Below are 16,882 nucleotides of genomic sequence, written 5' to 3' on the forward strand. Positions count from 1 at the left end.
TTATATTTGACACAGGGTCTCATTCTATTGCCCAGCCTGGAGTGCAGCAGCAGGATCACAGATCACTGCAGCCTCAACCTCCCCAGGCTCAGATGATTCTCCCACCTCTGCCTACCGAGGAGCTGGGACTACCAGCACATGCCAACTGGCTGGGGATGGGGAGAGGAGAGGAGAGGAGAGAAGAAAAGTGGTTACTCCCTGTCCCTTGAGTCCCCATTGTTCCGTGTTGATCAACTGCAGCATCTGTATAACATTATATTACATACAGAGACGACAGGTAGGGACCTAGAATCCAAAAAGATCTACTAAACCAAGCTTATCCAACCTGTGGCCCACAGGCTGCATGTAGCCCAGGATGGCTTTGAATGCAGCCCAACACAAATTCGTAAACTCTATTAAAACACTGAGAATTCTTTTTGCGATTTTTTTTTTTTTTTTAGCTCATCAACTATTGTTAGTGTTAGTGTATTTTATGTGTGGCCCAAGGGAATGTGGCCCAGGGAAGCCAAAAGACTGGACACCCCTGTACTAAACTCCTGGGGCATGGGGGAACTGAACTACCAGGAGACTTTTTTTTCTATGTTTGAATCATTATGTTCAGTATGTTGGCCCATGCCTGTAATCCCAGTGCTTTGAGACACCAGGTGGGGAGGACTGCTTGAGGCCAGGAGTTCAAGACCAGCCTGGCCAACATAACAAGGCCCCATCTCAAAAAAAAAAAAATTTTTTTTCTTAAATTATAAACGGGGGGTATGCTTGGCAAAAGTGATTACAGTCATTACTTCAAGCAGCATCTACTCAGAGATAATTAAATCAAAACATAAACCAAATCATGCTTATTAGTTTATGGCAGGCAATTCATTTTCTGAATGAATGATCAGCAAGTGCTACACGCTCAAATATTCTCTAAACTGATTAGTGGTGTTGTTAAAGTTAACATTTTCCTAGACATTACTGATGCTCTGTTTTAATGCTGGACAACGTTACTCCTACCAGCCGTGCCCTCAGTGAAACAGACTCAAAAGAGGGGAAGAATAGGGGGTGGGTACTACTTGAGTTCAGAGCAGAAGGAAACCAGGAAAGAGATGCTTTGCTCCACCACCTCTTGTTCCCGGCACTTCTGCAAACACTCCTCCTGCATGAATAAACACAGGCACCTCGTGTCTCATTCTGCACTGACGATCTGTCATCCAGCAGACCGCTGTCACTCATGCTGAATTCTGATGTGTCCACAAATAACGGAAGATTGGGCTTTTCCCAGCTCCATCATTCGCTAAGCAATCTTGGGGACAAGCCGCTTCATTTCTCTGGGCTTTGGTTTTCTTATCTGCAAAATGGGGATTTCTGCTTCTTTCATAAGGTAATATACAGGTATATCAGACAAATAAGAAAGTCTTTTTTTGTTCTTTTTGAGACATGGTCTTACTCTGTTTCCCAAGCTGAAGTGCAGAGGCATGATCACACCTCACTGCAGCCTCAAACTACTGGGCTCAAGCAATCCTCCCACCTCAATCTCCAGAGTACCTGGGACTACAGGTGTGCACCACCATGCATGGCTGATTTCTTTTTTTTTTTTTTTTGGAGACAGAGTTTCAAAAAGACCTGGTCTCACTCTGTTGCCCAGGCTGGAGTGCAATGGCATGATGTCGGCTCACTGCAACCTCCCCCCAAGTTCAAGCGATTCTCCTGCCTCAGCCTCCCGAGTAGCTGGGATTACAGGCGTGTGCCACCATGCCTGGCTAGTTTTTGTATTTTTAGTAGAGACAGCGTTTTGCCATGTTGGCCAGGATGGTCTCAAACTCCTGGCCTCAAGTGATCCACCCGCCTCAGTCTATGGCTGATTTATTTATTTCTTTATTTAGAGATGGGGTCTCACTATATCAATCCGCTGGAAGTGCAGTGGCACTATCTTGGCTCACTGCAACCTCAGCCTCCCAGGGCTTCAAGCAATCCTACCTTAGCCTCCTGAGTGGCTGGGACTAAGGCACATGCCACCACACCCAGCTAATTTTTGTATTTTTCTGTAGAGACAAGGTCTTGCCATGTTGCCCAGGCTGGCCTTGAACTCCTGGCCTCAAGTGATCCACCCACCTTAGCCTCCCAAAGTGTTAGGATTACAGGTGTGAGCCACTGCATCCAGCCATTTAAAAATTTTTAGTAGAGACAAGGTCTCACTATGTTGCCCAGGCTGGTCTTGAACCCTTAGTTCAAGTGATCCTCCCACCTTGGCCGCTCAGAGTGCTGGGATTACAGGTGACAGCCATTGTGCCCAGCAAAGTCTTCTTGAAAAAGTAAAATGCTACAGAAACATGAGGAACTACTTTTAAGAATACCCTGAATAATTTTCCTTCATTTTAGTTCTCACCACAGGGGATGTCTACATTTCCTAACGATCTCCCAGCTCATCTTCCTGTATCGAGTGTCTCTTCTCCGTTTCATCCTCTTCTCTATATTAAGCGGAAACTGCCTTAGCTGCCTCACATCGCTTCCTTTCCATAAACCCTAGTTCCATACAGCCTGAAAAAAAACTGCCCAGACTTGGCTTTGGAAGGAGCTGAGCCCTTGGGCGCTGCTGCCACCCATCTCTGGCATACTTTACTGAGTGTGCGAATGCTGAAGACAAACCGCCCCGCGGTGCAGCCCTCATGACTGCCTCCAGTGCAAGGAGAGGCCAGCGTGCCGAAGGCCACAAAGATCAAGTTCTGGCCTTTCCCCTAAATCATGTTGTCCTTATTTCAAGGGCCAGGAGCTATTTAAAGCTCAAATTATCTCACCAGTCCTGGGGGCACTCCTCCTGCCACAAATGAAGTCTCCCAGCAGTGCCCAGAGAGGCAATCTGTACTTATGTAAAGTCTGCCTAGCTGTCCCCAGACACATTGGAACAAGGAGATTATGAAATGCCAGGATCACCTTTGGATACAGTAGCTCGACCACATTTGGAACACGCCCAGATGTTCCCTGCCAGTGAAAAACTAAGTTAGAGGGGAAACCCTTCAGCTCTAAAAAGTCTAAAGAAAAGTTGTTCTGAACACCTTAAATCAAAATTTTTAAAAATCCTTTATCCTTTAGATCATAATTACTTGCATAAGAATCTGTTATTTTTAAATTAAAATAAGAGATCCCCACCATATTAGTTTTAAAGGTCAACAGATAACCTCTTAAAAGAACAAGTTATTCTAATAGTGTCTAAAATGATTTAATCAAGACAGAATGACAGAATGACTATTCAATGTGGGAAGATACGGGATCTTGTATCATTTGGGAAGGGAGGTAACATTTTTCAAAACAGTCATTAAATTTGTTGTTGTTGTTTAAACAGAGACAGGGTCTCACTCTGTTGCCCTGGCTGGAGTACAGTGGTGCAATCACAGCTCACTGCAGCCACGCCACAAACTCCTCTGCCTCAGCCTCCAGAGAAGCTGGGACTACAGGCATCTACCACCACGCCCCCTAATTTTTGTATTTTTTGTAGGGACCAGGGTCACCCTATGTTGTCCAGGCTGGTTTCGAACTCCTGAGCACAAGTGATCCTCCAGCCTTGGCCTCCTAAAGTTCTGGGATTACAAACATGAGCCATTCTGCCTAACCTTCTTCTTCTTTAAAAAAAAAAAGAAAGAAAGAAAGAAAAGAAAAGAAATGGGGTCTCACTCTGTTGCCCAGGCTGGAGAGAAATGGCGTGATCACAGCTCACTGCAGCCTCAACTTCTCAGGCTCAGGTGATCCTCCCACCTCAGCCTCCCATCACACCCTGGTTAATAAATTGTTTCTACGAATGCAACACTTGTAAACATGGTCCCCAAAATTTACTGTCATGGCTGTTGGAAAATGTAGAAAGTTTCAGTTTTTATTCCCCAGAGTTGTATGTTCTGCTTAAAAACAAAGTTTCTGCCTTCTCTACTACTACAAGCTCAAGTTCAAATTTCTTATTTTTATTTTATTTATTTTTTTTGAGATGGAGTCCCACTCTGTCACCAGGCTGGAGTGCAGTGGCACAATCCCGGCTCACTGCAACCTCTGCCTCCTGGGTTCAAGCGATTCTCCTGCCTCAGCCTCCCGAGTACCTGGGATTACAGGCGTGTGCCACTACGCCCAGCTAATTTTTGTACTTTTAATAGAGACGGGGTTTCATCATGTTGGCCAGGATGGTCTTGATCTCCTGACCTTGTGATCCGCCCGCCTCGGCCTCCCAAAGTGCTGGGATTACAGGCGTGAGCCACCGCGCCCGGCCTCAAATTTCTTTTGGTGACTTAAAAGATGTTAAAGATAGCTGTAGGTAAAATGGTTAGAAAAATCTATGTTATTCTCACCAACAGTTTAAAAAGTAGAACTCCCCAAATCCCAGCTGCTAAGGAATCAGATGTTAATTAGTGTCAACTATTTTCCCCTAAGAGTTGATGAGGAGAGAAACCTTTTCTACCTAAGATTAGCAACTCTTGAAATTCTTGGAAAGCTACTTAGATGACTTTCTGACCTTAAGCCATGGAGTACCAGGTCATTCACAATTTCCTTATCTACCAAGAACCTTACATTGTAATGGTAGGGACCAGACACAGCCGCTCACCTCTGTAATCCCAGCACTTTGGGAGGCCAAGGTGGGTGGATCACTTGAGGTCAGTAGTTTGAGACCAGCCTGGCCAACATGGCGAAACCCTGTCTCTACTAAAAATACAAAAATGAGCTGGGTGTGGTGTGCATGCCTGTAATCCCAGCTACTCAGGAGGCTGAGGCAGGGGAATCACCTGAACCTGAGAGGTGGAGGTTACAGTGAGACGAGATGGAGCCACTGCACTCCAGCCTGGGCAACAGAGCGATCTGTCCGCACCCCCACCACACCCCCCAAAAAAAAGTTATGAATGCAACTTTGCATTTTTAATCTTCTTAAATAACTCCTCGGGGCTCAAGCAATCAATCCTCCTGCCTCAACCTGGAACTACAGGCATGCACCACCTCACCCAACACATTGATTTAATAAAACTGAAAATCTCTACAAAGAACTGAAGTTTACATCCAAAAAATAAGCCAGGAGAGATGAACAGGCAGAGCACACAGGACTTTCAGGGCAATGAAACTACACTGTGTGATATTCAGGTGGTGGCTACATGCCTCTATAAACTTGTCCAACTCCACAGAATGTAGATCACCAAGAGTGAGCTCTACTGTAAACTGTGGACCTTGGGTGATAATGTTTCATTAATTGCAGTTTAAGTGTACCCCTCTGGTGGGGGCTGCTGAGGGAAGAAGGCTGTGCTTGTGTGGGGCAGGGGGTATATGGGAACTCCATTAAATTTTACTGTGAATCCAAAACTGCTCTAAGAAAGTCTGGCTTTTTTTTTTTTTTTTTTTTCTGAGACAGAGTTTCACTCTGTCACCCAGGCTGGAGTGTGATGGCACGATCTAGGCTCACTGCACCCTCTACTTCCGGGTTCAAGTGATTCTCGTGCCTCAGCCTCCAAAGTAGCTGGGATTACAGGCACCCACCACCACGCCTGGCTAAATTTTTGTATTTTTAGTAGAGACAGGGTTTCACCACGTTGGCCAGGCTGGTCTCGAACTCCTGACCTCAGGTGATCCACCCGCCTCGGCCTCCCAAAGTGCTGGGATTACAGGCGTGAGCCACGGTGCCCGGTCTTTTTTTTTTTTTTTTTTCAACCTAGCAAGTGCTAGGTATGAGACTTGGCTCCATCTTACATTTTCTGTCCTCCTAGAATTTGAGAATATTGTCACCTGAAAGGGCCAAGGGCCATGAAAAAGAGAAATGCAGTGAGTGCTAAATAGAAACAGAAAGAATGAGATGACCAAGTGCAGGATGTGCGCTGCTGTCCATGTTAAGGATACACCATGCAGACAGTGGATAAACCACTGCAAACGGATGGGACACGGTTCTCCTTCATCACAACTCGTTCGAAAGACAACCTATGTTTACTAAGTAATCAACTAAACACTGAAAATAACCTTATGTATCTGAAATAACACGCCTCAAACATGAACTCCCTTCTGTGCAGAAGAGTTAACATAATAGGCTTCAGTCTGCTGTCTTTCGAAAGGCCTGCTTACAAGGCTGGTCTCTGGCTGGCATCTGAGAACTTGGATTTAGGGAGGGTTCCCACCATTCCCTGATAAAGATGGCTCACTGTTGCCAATCTGTTGGTACAAACGATCTGGTTTATATTAAACCTGTTTTCCTTCTGGGAATCTGGATTTGGACATGTGCTAGGCAGGCAGAGGGTACTTAAGTGACCAGCCCCCAGCTGCTCTCTAACAAGACCCCTGGTAGACAGCATTTCTCACATATTGTCACAGCTTGGAATAATGATGCGTATCCCGTGTGATTTCCCTGGGAGAGGACTCTTGAAAGCTTGCGCCTGGCTTCCTCTGATTTTCATCTCCTGCGCCTCTTCCCTTTGCTAATTTTTTTTTTTTTTTTTGAGATGTAGTCTCCCTCTGCCACCCAGGCTGGAGTGCAGTGGTGTGATCTCGGCTCACTGTGGCCTCTGCCTCCTAGGTTCAAGTGATTCTCCTGCCTCAGCCTCCCGAGTAGCTGGGTCTACAGGCGCCCACCACCACACCCAGCTAAACTTTCTATTTTTAGTAGAGACGGGGTTTCACCATGTTTGGCCAGGCTGGTCTTGAACTCCTGAGCTCAAGTGATCCGCCCGCCTCAGCCTCCCAAAGTGCTGGGATTACCGGCATGAGCCACTGTGCCCGACCCCATTTGCTGATTGAGCTTTGCATACTTCCCAGTAAAAAACTGCAGCCATGAGTACAAGTATTTGCTGAGTCCCAGTACATCACCAAGCCTGGAGGCAGTCTTGGGGACTCTCAACACACATTCATTCCAGAAAACTTGATACATGTTTTATAAGTCCGGTGACCAGGGAAAAGATGATTAATGGCCACTACTTATCAAATAATTAATTCATCAAGCATCCATGGACCATCTAGTATATACATCACATTGTATCACAACGTGAAGACACAAAACACTAGTGGGATGTACTCAAGGTACTCAGTCTACACGGAGAAAATACAACTTATTCACATTGGAGTATCAGTCACAGAGGTATTCTTAACATAGCAAACTGCATGGAAACTTGGAGAAAATTTTAATTAGGAACTAACAACTTTAGTTGGGTTTTTCCAGCAGCGATCACCCTGGCTAAAAATTGTGCAGAGGGAAACATTCATTCGAGGAAGAGGAACAGCCTCAGAGTCGTGAAATTTCTACCCAAGGCCAAGCCAAGGTCTCACAGATGAGAGGAGAGCTGGGTGAGGGCCTGGGTTTGGCTGACAGCGCCAAGTCCCACTCCACAAGGTGGGTATTACACTCGCTTTACAGGTGTGACTCAGAGAAATAACATGACTTTTCCCCAGAGTCACCTCATTAACACTCCACAGAGCAGAAAAAACTCCAGCCCTCAGGCTGCAAATCTTGTGCTCTTTTTCTATGCTAAGAGTCTCTGATGATGTAACTTCTGCAACACCACAGAGAACCAGCTAATTTCTCTAATACATGAAAACCTCCAGAGAATTTCTAAGATCAATCTTAGAAACAGAAAATCTCAGTAACAGAAAAATGGAAAAAAGGAACGGAGAAAAGGAAAACAATAGGAAAAATGCTCAACCTCATTCATTCTGTGAATTGTTCTCTGATCACAATGCCAAGGCTTCATTGTGAAGGTGACGGTGTGGGTAACAGGCACGTATCCACTGGTCATGTGCATATGACAGAATTCTAGTTGGCACTAAAAATCACCTGTGCATTCACACGACATTTCTAGAAGGGTCTCAAAACCAGACTGGCTGGGAAGCAGTCAAGGTTGATTAGGTTGAATTTTGTACCGATGACTAGTAGTACTTATTCCAACAAACCCTCTCCACAATTTACCCTGTTATTCATACCTACAATTGAAGCTTAAAGCCAATCTTGAAAGCCAAGTTTTCAGAAAAGCCCAAAGCCAGTAATTTTATATAAACAGTTTATGGATGTATACAACAAACTCAAACCACACTTCTTTGCTTTCTGTGTGTTTTAACTTAGTTGTATAAAAATAATGGTAATAGGCTGGGCGCGGTGGCTCACGCCTGTAATCCCAGCACTTTGGGAGGCCAAGGTGGGCGGATCACCTGAGGTCAGGAGTTCAAGACTAGACTGGCCAATATGGTGAAACCCCATCTCTACTAAAAATACAAAAATTAGCTGGGCATGGTGACGCACACCTGTAATCCCAGCTACTCGGGAGGCGGAGACAGGAGAACTGCTTGAACCCGGGAGGCAGAGGTTGCAGTGAGCCAAGATCACACCACTGCCCTCTAGCCTGGGCAACAGAGCAAGATTACATCTCAAAAAATACATATAAAAATAATAGTAATAATAATGTATAAAAATGATAAAGATACAATGAAGAACAAAGGATACCTTTATACGGTTAGTAATAACATACAGAATACATTCTATACTGTTGACCCTTGGACAACACAGGTTTGAACTGCACAAATCCACTTAAATGTGAATTTTCCTCCACCTCTGCCACTCCTGAGACAGCAAGCCCAATCCTCTTTATCCTCCTGCTCAGCCTATTCAACACGAAGACCGTAAGGATGAAGACTTTTACAATGACCCACTTCCACTTAATGAAGAGTAAATACAGTTTCTCTTATGCTTTTCTTAATAATATTTTCTGCCAAGTGCGGCGGCTCACACCTGTAATCCCAGCACTCTGGAAGGCCAAGGCGGGTGAATTGCCTGAGCTCAGGAGTTCGAGACCAGGCTGGCCAACACGGTGAAACCCCGTCTCTACTAAAATACAAAAAATTAGCCAGGTGTGGTGGCACACACCTGTAATCCCAGCTACTCGGGAGGCTGAGACAGGAGAATTGCTTGAACCTGGGAGGCGGACATTGCAGTGAGCCAAGATCATGCCATTGCACTCCTGCCTGGGCGACACAGCGAGACTCCATCTCAGAAAACAAAACAAAACACACACATACACACACAAACAAAAAACAAACAAAAAGGTTACACATGGGATTTGATTGTGCCCCTAACTCACACATTGTGCAAGGGGCAACTGTATGGATCAGCCCCGTTTCACTAACAATCAATTCTAGTATTTTTCCAGTTTATTCTCTACAAATATAACCTATGGTTTCCAAATATCACCTGTCCTTTCCCATAGTTACAATTTCCTATACTTGAATCATATACTACCTGGACAAGGCCAATGCCAATAATGCTTATGAGCATTTTTTTGTTTTGTTTTGAATTCAATGGAACTATTTCCAGTGGTTTCATTCTTAAATGTCAGCTCTTGGTTTAATTGTATTTTTCTCTATCATGTTAAGAAAGTATCCATTTAGTCCATATTTTTCTAATAAACTTTTGTGATCAGAAATGGATTTTTCAACAAAATTCTAACTCCTCGCCCTCCGGACAATCATTTATGATTAAGTATCATTATTCCTAATTTAAAGAAAATTAAGGCTCAGCGCTGAAGAACAGAACTCAAATACACTGGCTCCAAATCCCACATGCTTTCCACTATACCAGTAGTTCTTAACCAAGGAGGGAGGCTTTTTATAATAATCTCTCCTCAAGCAGCCCTACCCCTTGCCAGTTCAGATGGGAACCATGCATATCTATTTCTCTAGGTTAAGAATTGTAGCAGTTTCTCAAAATGTTTTGTTAGCAGCATTATGACTCAGCAATTCCACTCCCAGATATACACAAGAGAAATAAAAACATAAGTCCATACAAAATTCTTTTTTTTGAGACAGGATCTCACTCTGTCACCCAGGCTGGAGTGCAGTAGTATGATCAGGGCCCACTGCAGCCTCGGGCTCAAGCAATCCTTCTGCCTGAGCCTAGCCTCCCAAGTAGCTGGGACTACAGGCATGTGCCACCAAAGTGATCCTCCCGCCCCTCCCCAGCCCCCTAAAGTGCAGGGGAAGCCACCGCACCTGGCCCATACAGAATCTTGTACAGGGGCTGGGAGGGTTGGCTCATGCCTGTAATCCCAGCACTTTAGGAGGCTGAAGCTGGCAGATCACTTGAGGTCAGGAGTTTGAGACCAGCCTGGGCAACATGGTGAAACCCCATCTCTAACTAAAAATAACTAAAAATACAAAAATGAGCCGGGCATGGTGGCTCGCACCTGTAATCCCAGCTACTCAGGAGGCTGAGACACGAGAATCACTTGAACCCAGGAGGCGGAGGCTGTAGTGAGCTGAGGTGGCGCCACTGCACTCCAGCCTGGGTGACAGGACAAGACTCTTGCCTCAAAAAAAAAAAAAAAAAAAAAAAAAAGAGAAATCTTGTAATGTTCACAGCAACGTTAGTCCTAAGAGCCAAAAGGTGGAAACAATGCAAATGTACATCAAATGAGGAACGGCTGAACAAAACGTAGTGTGATCTATGTAATGGAATATTATTTAGACAGACAAATGATGCACTGATAACATGCTACACCGATGATCTCGAAAACATTTTGCTAAATGGAAGCAGCCAGTCCAAAAGACCGCATATTGTTTGATTCCAGTTACATAATATGTCCAGAATAGGCAAATCCATAGAAATAGAAAGCAGATTAGTGGTTACTTAGGGCTGGGTTGGGAGGGGAGGTGATGGGGAATGACTGCCAATATGGGGTTTCTTTTTGGGTTGATGGCATGTTCTAGAATGTGGTGATGGTTATGCAAGTCTGAACATACTGAAAACCATTAAATTGCACACTTTAAATGGGTGAATCGCATGGTATGTAAACTATATCTCAACAAAGCTACTGAAAAATTGCTGCACTATACGACAGTTTATATAGCACTCTCACACACACCAGCAATCAAACATCATCAGCTCACTTGTTTGAAATATAAAATTCGAAATACTTGATGCTTCTTAATACATGGACTTACACACAGAAAACTCACTGTAATGGAGCACAGACCTCTGGCTCTTACATTTAATCCTCCTCTTGTGACCTCCTACCAACATCTAGTAATGTAGTGCAGGTTATATTTCTCAATATCCTCTCCAAAAAGGTGAACGAAAGGGCTTGTTTAGATTTATGCACAGCTATCATAAAAGAAAGATGAAAAAGGACAGGAAATGTACATGTCCTGCCATGGGTATCTGTCATTATGAAGCATTCGATCCCACCAATACGGAGGAAAAAGTCAAAGAAGAAACACACTAAGAGAACTCACTCTGAAATGCAGATAATCCACACCTTCCTCCCCAAACCAGCACTCCCTTCCTTCTTACAAACCCTGCTGGGTGAAGGACGGTCTCTGACCCTATGTTGCACACTCCTGTGAGAACTTGGTTGAATTCCACCTTCAGAGGTTAACAAGTACTTGACTTCTTCATATCAAGGCTGCTTATTTCCCTACAACTGCCATTCGCTGGCCTTAAGATCTTTCTCTCTTGGGGGCCAGAATGCATTTTTGAAACTGGCGAGACTGGTTCTCATATCCTAGAGTCTTCTCTAACTTTACTCACTGTTTCCATCCCTGTCCCAATCTTCCCCTAAATGCGCTCCTGCTTATCAATACCTTTCAGCCTGCTATTTAGTATATCAGGCTTCGAACCTCCGCTGGGCTACTTTCTGAACTCATCAAACAAACTAGTGACTATTTCTAATTAATTACTAGTTTTATCATAGATCTGACTTGGAAGTGGCGGGGAGAGAGGACTTTCCCACCAAAAAATTAAACTGTTAAAAAAAATTAACCAGCCGGGCACAGTGGCTCACACCTGTAATCCCACCACTTTGGGAGGCCGAGGCAGGAGGATCACCTGAGGTCAGGAATTCGAGACCAGCCTAGCCAACATCATGAAGCCCCGTCTCTACTAAAAATACAAAAATTAGCTGGGTGTGGTGGCAGGCGCCTGTAATCCCAGCTACTTGAGAGGGTGAGGTAGGAGAATCGCTTGAAACCAGGAGACAGAGGTTGCAGTGAGCCAAGATTGCACCATTGCACTCCAGCCTGGGTGACAGAGCAAGACTCCATCTCAAGAAAAAAAATTAGGTTGTTATGTGTAAAAGCTGTTGTAAACTATGGTGTACTGCAGCCGTTTTTAAAAATCAGCTTTATTAAGGTATCTACTGGGTGGAGGCCAGGGATGCTGCTGAACACCCTACAATGCACAGGATGGCCTCCACATTAGCAAAGGATCATCTGCTCCGAATGCACATATTGTGGAAGCAGAAGAACCCTGCTGTGAGTTCTCGATACCCCAGCCACCAGACTCAGACTCTTCCCATCACACCTCTCTCTGCTTCTTCACATTAATATAACGCTCATACTCCACCCCTAGAATCTGGGCTTGGCCATATGAATCAGCATCACCCATGAATCATGGTGGTACCTTAACTCAACAGTCACTTCTGAAAGTGTGCTGAATGACATCAATCTCCACATGATGTACCCATCTGAGATTGTTTTCAAAAAGGGTCCTAGTAATTCCTCCTGATTCTGTCATTCCTTCCACCCACCTCCTTTCCAATATGAATCCAGCCACTCTCATCAAGAGATGGGTTATCTCTCTACCTCCATAATCTGAACTTGGTCATGTGACTTGGTTTTGACTAATGGAGCCTAAGCAAGTATGAGATAGGCAAGGCTTGAAAAGTGCCTGTGAGCTGGGACTCGCTGCTGGGACCTTCCACCACCACGTGAAGAAGCCTGGGTTAACCTGGAGGTGAGAGACTGTGGGTGAGGCCACTGCAGTTCATCCAGTGTTAAATTGTGAGAATTAACAAATATTTGTTTGGGGTAGTTTGAGACAAGCAAACACTAATACCGTATTTCACAGCTCCAAACTAAACTGACTTACGAAAAGCAAATCATACTCAATTCCTATTGAGATGTCAGTCAAAGCCCGAGATCTATCTTTCTCTGCAAGTGTTACTGTTAAGCAACACCTGCACCAAGTGTAATGGAACAGATGAACCTGGGGATCAGGGTACAGGACTTTAAGCAAACAATTAGGAATTTTTTTTTTTGAGACAGAGTCTCGCTCTGTTGCCTAGGCTGGAATGCAGTGGTGCGATATCGGCTCACTGCAGCCTCCACCTCCCAGGTCCAAGAGATGCTCCCACCTCAGCCTCCCAAGTATCTGGGACCACAGGTGCATGCCACCACGTCTGGCTAATTTTTGAATTTTTAGTACAGACAGGGTTTCACCATGTTGGCCAGGCTGGTCTTGAACTCCTGAGCTCAGGTGATCAGCCCACCTCAGAATTAGGCTTGTTAAAACATTTTTAACAATTAGGGCACATGACATGCCTCTACAGCTCACCTAACTCCATATCAGGAAGACACCTCATCAAATGCCTTGAAAAAATCCAGATATACTATGTTCCAGCACTCCCATGGCTGGCAGTCAAAAACCCTATTCCAAAATTAGTTCGATCAAAATTAGTTGAAAAGGTTCTTAAACACACCCATATTGACTCCTACATGATCATCTCTTTCAGGTCTGATCTTTGCTTCTACAATTTCTCCTGGAATCAATGTCATGCTCACTTTAAATGGGGTTATTTATCTGTGTCCAGACCTCTACCACTTCCATTATCCCAAGGCTATTCTCAAAAATGAATTATAAACATTAGTTGAACTCATCAATTGGGACAACTTACCCCAAACCACACTCTTGACCTTATGCAGAATCATTCACTTTTAAAGTCAAACTCTTGTAACCTCCCAGTCCCCACTCTTACCTATAAGACTTACTCTTGAATACTGTCCTTTCTCTCTTAGCACGTTCCCTTCAGGCTTTAGTCCTTCCCTGCAAAGTTCATGGAGACCCAGCAACTCCATTCTTTCTGCAGGCATATCACTGTCTTGTCCTTCTGCTACACCATCCCTAAAATACCCAGATCAATCCAACCCCCTGCCCCTCCTCCCACTCTTGCAGCCAAGATTTAGGTGAGGGAGGGGGACACTGAGAGAGAGAACTAGAGGTTGAAGTCACTACAAACGGCCTGGCAATCCTAGGTTATTGCCTGCCACCTCTTCTTCATAGAGGAACGTGACCATTAGTTAAGCCTATCCTAAGGCTTTTTTTTTTTTTTTTTGGAGACGGAGTCTCGCTCTGTTGCCCAGGCTGGAGTGCAGTGGCACGATCTTGGCTCACTGCAAGCTCTGCCTCCCGGGTTCACACCATTCTCCTGTCTCAGTCCCCCGAGCAGCTGGGACTACAGGCACCCGCCACAATGCCCAGCTAATTTTTTGTATTTTTTAGTAGAGACGGGGTTTCACAATGTTAGCCAGGATAGTCTCAATCTCCTGACCTCGTGATCCACCCGCCTCGGCCTCCCAAAGTGCTGGGATTACAGGCGTGAGCCACCGTACCTGGCCAAGCCTTTCTTCCAAAAGTAGCTGCATTGATCACTGCCTCCTTTGTTGAGTGCCAACAAAAGATGTTTCTTCCCCCTCCATGGATTCCCACTGGTCATTCTATTACATTCTTCTATTGTCCCTCTCCTACTCTTCCCCATTAACATACAGTGAAAGTTAAGATTTAAAAAAATGAGGCCTGGCGCAGTGGCTCATGCCTGTAATCCCAGCACTTTGGGAGGCCGAAGTGGCCGGATCATGAGGTCTTCAAAACCGGCCTGGCCAACATGGTGAAACCCGTCTCTACTAAAAATACAAAAATTAGCTGGGCATGGTGGCACGAGCCTGTAATCCCAGCTACTAGGTAGGCTGAGGCAGCAGAATTGCTTGAACCGGGACCCGGGAGATGGAGGTTGCAGGGAGCCGAGATTGCACCAGTGCACTCCAGCCTGGGCTACAGAGTGAAACTCCGCCTCAAAAAAAAATTTAAAAATAAGTAAGTAAATAAATAAAATAAAAAATAAATGATGCATTTCAATCCCACCTCTTCCTGGTTCTTTCAAAATCAAGGTTCTGGAATTAAGTCTACAATTGTTACCATTTCTTCAATGTTTCACTCCCTCCTCAACCCCACAGCCCTACACAGTCGTCACTGTCTTCCGACCCCAGGCATCCAGTGCTCTTGGTCTTCATCTTAAGTCTGAACTCACAGAGGCATCTAACCCTGATGACCGCTCTTTCCTGAGGCTCTCCTCCCCTTGTCAGCCTTCTTTCCTGGTCTTTCCTTCCTCGTTCCAGTCACTACTTAAGTGCCAACCACTCCCTAGCGCTTTACACTGTGACACAGATGCTACATTTTTTTCTGGGTGACCTTTGTTCTGCATGGTTCCAACACACATGGATACAAAGCGGCTCCCTCTTGAATGTCAGTTCTACCAGGGAAGAGGATATTATATTCTGCAGCTGTTAGGCCAGCCTGGTTATTAGTGGATCCTAAATGTTTCTTTGCTTACACTGTGCCAGGGCACTGTTACGAATGGCGGTCAAATTGACCTGTAGCCAAGTTAATTTGCCTCCACTTAAGTGTTTCCTCAAATTCAGCAGAACACCAGAATTCATCTTTTCCACCATTTTCTCCTCCTCTTTCTTCTTCTATCTCTGGCCACCCATTTCTGCCTCTCCAACCTGCCCTTGCCGTTCTTGTCCAGGTCCCTGAAGACTAGACCTGACAATCTACTCCTCAGCCTCCCCTTGCTCTGCCTCACTGTCCTACTCAGTTTCCACACTGCTGCCTGGGATCTCGCCACACCAAAAATTAGATTATGGTCCTCTTCAGCCTGAAGAGACTCACCATGGCTTAAGAAGAAACAAACCTCAGAAGGCCCTTCGTGAACTGTTTCCTGTTAACCTCTTTCAACTCATTTCCTGCTACTCCCTCAAAAAGCGCACCACCACAGCATTCCCTGAATGCCACCAACAAGGACTAAACAAATCACGCCACCAGTTCTCCTTTTCCATCCTGAAACTAAGCGTCCTATGCCCTCTGCCTGGCTATTCCTTCCTCCAACCTCTCCCCCTCCCTCAAGTTTCCCAAAGACACTGCGCAGGCATCACTTCCTCTAGGAAACCCTCCCTGACGACCAGTGTCAACTAAGCGTCCGTCTCCAGTAGCACAGCACCCTAGGCTTACTTCAATTTCTTTTGTGGAATCAAGATCCCCACAGATGTTCAACAGGACTCCCATCACAACCGTATCTTTCCTAGGATTTTAGATCAGTGCATTTATTTCTTTCACCTGCCTAAAATGTCTACAAAATATTCAAATGCTTACATCCAAATACTCAAATGTCTGCCGGGCACAGTGGCTCATGCCTGTAATCCTAGCACTTTGGGAGGCCAAGGCAGGTGGTTCACCTGAGGTCAGGAGTTCAACACCAGCCTGACCAACATGGTGCAACCCTGTCTCTACTAAAAATACAAAAAAATTAGCTGGGCATGGTGGCATGTGCTACTTGGGAGGCTGCAGCAGGAGAATCGCTTGAACCTGGGAGGTGGAGGTTGCAGTGAGCTGAGATCGTGCCATTGAACTCCAGCCTGGGAAATAAGAGGGAAAATCAGTGTCAGCAAACAAACAAACAAAAAAAACACTCAAATGTCTACGAAAATATCTTATATACAATATAAATAACTAGCATCTCTTTTCTTCCTTTGATCTTCACCCAAATCCTCAAAACATGCTCCAAACTCCAGTTTGCAAATTCCACATAAAACTATATTATTCTGGTTTTTACTTGCTATACAAAAGGTTTTCTCTTCCTCCCAGATCTGTTTCTTTTGAGTGAGGTATCTGCTTCCATTCGGTTCTGAGTGGTACCCTCATGCCTCCTGGCAATATCTCTAAGACTCCAAACAGCAAAACTACAGCACTTACCTCATGTTAAAAATCTCAAGCTCTCCTTTGTTAAATGACATTCAAAAAACACACTGCAATCGTGGGATCGAATGTTTTCTAAAAGAAACCGGGTTACACTTGTATTGAGTAATA

The 16,882-nt window shown here is 44.9% G+C and overlaps 1 protein-coding gene across 1 annotated transcript in view; it reads right to left on the minus strand.

Moving 5' to 3' along the window:
- The window catches only part of YWHAG (tyrosine 3-monooxygenase/tryptophan 5-monooxygenase activation protein gamma), a 32,193-nt gene that overhangs the window by 4,329 nt on the left and 10,982 nt on the right, over positions 1-16,882 (minus strand). The window lies entirely within an intron of this gene.

Source organism: Homo sapiens, chromosome 7 (genome assembly GCF_000001405.40).
Source record: "Homo sapiens chromosome 7, GRCh38.p14 Primary Assembly".
NCBI lineage: Eukaryota > Metazoa > Chordata > Mammalia > Primates > Hominidae > Homo > Homo sapiens.